The 3,351-nt window shown below is 40.0% G+C and overlaps 1 annotated feature.

Moving 5' to 3' along the window:
- Positions 217-386: an enhancer, noted in NCBI's record as "experimental_9844 CRE fragment used in MPRA reporter constructs". NCBI's record gives its function as "activates a minimal promoter by MPRAs in K562 erythroleukemia cells, with activity observed for both the introgressed and non-introgressed 10:110716135 variant alleles {active_cell/tissue: K562}" and the evidence as "EXISTENCE:reporter gene assay evidence [ECO:0000049][PMID:34662402]".

The raw sequence follows: 3,351 nt of genomic DNA, 5'->3' as shown, positions 1-3,351 counted from the left end.
CAGTGGAATGGCAAGGTCAGATTTGCATTTGTGGAGCTTACTATGGAGGAACTGTGGCTAAACCAATTGGCAGCAAGTGACGATAGAATTAGGGAAACAAGTCAAGAGGTTGCAATAATTCAAGTAAGAAGTAAGGAAGGAGGTGCAGGACTTCTAGGTTGACTGCGTAAGGAGCTTGACTAAGTTGCTCAGCAGATGCTCCTTCCAGCAAAACAAAAGTTTAATGGGTGAAAATTATATTTAAACAAATACAAGTCATTTGCAAACCCTGGATATTGTCCTAAGGGCATAGAGCAAATGGAGAAACATTCACTCAAGAAAATCTACTAACTCTCAGTGGTTACTGTGAGAGTCTGGACATTTGAGCCATGACTCACACCTTTACTCCATTTAACCAAGCTCTATGTTACAAAAATTTCATCCAGCCATTCTGAATGATGTAAGGTGGTATCTCATTGTGATTTTGATTTGCATTTCTCTGAATGATTAGTGATGATGAGCATTTTTTTCCATATGTTTGTTGGCCACTTGTATGTCATCTTTTGAGAAGTGTCTGTTCATGTCTTTTGTCCATTTTTAATGGGGTTGTTTGATTTTGCTTGTTCAATTGTTTAGGTTTCTTACAGATTCTGTATATTGATGTTTGTTAGATGCATAGTTTGATAATATTTTTTTCCTGTTCTCTATGTTGTCTGTTTACTCTGTTGATATTTTTCTTTGCTGGCCAGAAACTCTTCAGTATAATCAGGTACCACTTGTCAATTTTTGTTTTGTTGCCATTGCTTTTGAGGACTTGTCATAAATTCTTTCCTAAGGCTGATTTCCAGAATGGTGTTTCCTACGTTTTCTTCCAGAATTATTTTAGTTTAAGGGGTATATTTAAATATTTAATCCATCTCGAGTTAATTTTTGTGTATGGTGGAAGGTAGGGGCCCAGTTTCATTCTTTTGCATGTGGCTAGACAGCTGTCCTTGCATCATTTATTAAGTAGGATATCCCTTCTCCATTCCTTATTTTTGTTGACTTTGTCAAAGATTAGATGGCTTTAGGTGTGCTGCTTCATTTCTAGGTTCTCTATTCTGTTCCATTGTTCCATATGTCTGTTTTTGTACCCTTACCATGCTGTTTTGTTTACTGTAGCCATATAATACAGTTTGAAATCAGATGATGTAATGCCTCTGGCTTTTGTCTTTTTGCTTAGAATCGTTTTGGCTATTTCAGCTCTTTTTTGTTCTATATGAATTTTAGAAGTTTTTTTCTAATTATTTGAAAAATCACATTGGCAGTTTGATAGGATAGCATTGAATCTGTAGATTGCTTTTGGCAGTATGGCCATTTTCAAAATTTTGATTCTTGCAGTCCATGAGCATGGAATGTTTGTTTGTTTGTTTGTTTGTTTGTTTGAGACAGAGTCTCACTCTATGTCCAGGCTGGAGTGCAGTGGTGCAATCTCATCTCTCTGCAAGCTCCGCCTCCTGGGTTCACGCCATTGTCCGGCCTCAGCCTCCCTAAGTAGCTGGACTACAGGCACCCGCCACCATGCCCAGCTAATTTTTTGTATTTTTAGTAGAGATGGGGTTTCACCATGTTAGCCAGGATAGTCTTGATCTCCTGACCTCGTGATCCACCTGCCTCAGCCTCCCAAAGGGTGTTTTTTTATTTTTAATTTTTTTATTATTTTTATTTTTTTTTGAGATGGAGTCTCGCTCTGTCGCCCAGGCTGGAGTGCAGTGGCGCGATCTCGGCCCCCTGCAAGCTCCGCCTCCTGGGTTCACGCCATTCTCCTGCCTCAGCCTCCCGAGCAGCTGGGACTACAGGCGCCCCCCGCCACGCCCGGCAAATTTTTTTTTTTTGTATTTTTAGTAGAGACGGGGTTTCACTGTATTAGCCAAGATGGTCTCGATCTCCTGACCTCATGATCCGCCTGCCTCGGCCTCCCAAAGTGCTGGGATTACAGGCATGAGCCACCCCGCCTGGCTGTTTTTTCTTTAAATTATACTTTAAGTTCTGGGATACAAGTGCAGAACGTGCAGGTTTGTTACCTAAGTATACACGTGCCATGGTGGTTTGCTGCATCCATCAACCCCTCATCTACTTTAAGTATTTCTCCTAATGCTATCCCTCCCCTAACCCCCCCACCCCCCAATAGGCCCCGGTGCATGATGTTCCTCTCCCTGTGTCCATATGTTCTCACTGATCAACTCCCACTTATGAGTGAGAACGTGCAGTGTTTGGTTTTCAGTTCCTGTGTTAGTTCGCTGAGAATGATGGTTTCCAGCTTCATCCATGTCCCTGCAAAGGACGTGAACTCATCCTTCTTTATGGCTGCATAGTATTCCATGGTGTATATGTGCCACCTCTTCTTTATCCAGTCTATTATTGATGGGCATTTGGGTTGGTTCCAAGTCTTTGCTATTGTGAACAGTGCTGCAGTAACCATATGTGTGCATGTGTCTTTATAGTAGAATGATTTATAATCCTTTGGTTATATACCCAGTAATGGGATTGCTGGGTCAAATGATATTTCTGGTTCTATATCATTGAGGAATCGCCAACACTCTCTTCTACAATGGTTGAACTAATTTACACTCACACCAACAGTGTAAAAGTGTTCCTATTTCTCCACATCCTCTCCAGCATCTGTTGTTTCCTGACTTTTTAGTGATCACCATTCTAACGAGTGTGAGATGGTATCTCATTGTGGTTTTGATTTGCATTTGTCTAATTACCAGTGATGATGAGCTTTTTTTTCATGTTTGTGGGCAACATGTCTTCTTTTGAGAAGTGTCTGTAAATATCCTTCACTCACTTTTTGATGGAGTTTCATTTGTTTCATTTGTTTTATTTGTTTTTTTCTTGTAAATTTGTTTAAGTTCTTGTAGATTCTGGATATTTGCCCTTTGTCAGATGGATAGATTGCAAAAATTTTCTCCCATTCTGTAGGTTGCCTGTTCACTCTTATGATAGTTTCTTTTGCTGTGCAGAAGCTCTTCATTTTAATTAGATCCTGTTTGTCAATTTTGGCTTTTGTTGCCCTTGCTTTTGGTGTTTTAGTCATGAAGTCTTTGCCCAGGCCTATGTCCTGAATTGTACTGCCTAGATTTACTTCTAGGGTTTTTTACAGTTTTAGGTCTTACATTTAAGTCTTTAATCTATCTAGAGTTAATTTTTGTATAAGGTGTAAGGAAGGGGTCCAGTTTCAGTTTTCTGCCTAAGGCTAGCCAGTTTTCCCAACACCATTTATTAAATAGGGAATCCTTTCCCTTTTGCTTGTTTTTGTCAGGTTTGTCAAAGATCAGATGGCTGTAGATGCATGGAGTTATTTCTGAGGCCTCTGTTCTGTTCCATTGG

This window comes from Homo sapiens, chromosome 10 (assembly GCF_000001405.40).
Source record: "Homo sapiens chromosome 10, GRCh38.p14 Primary Assembly".
NCBI classification, from domain to species: domain Eukaryota; kingdom Metazoa; phylum Chordata; class Mammalia; order Primates; family Hominidae; genus Homo; species Homo sapiens.
This window is presented reverse-complemented; position numbering and strand designations above follow the sequence as displayed.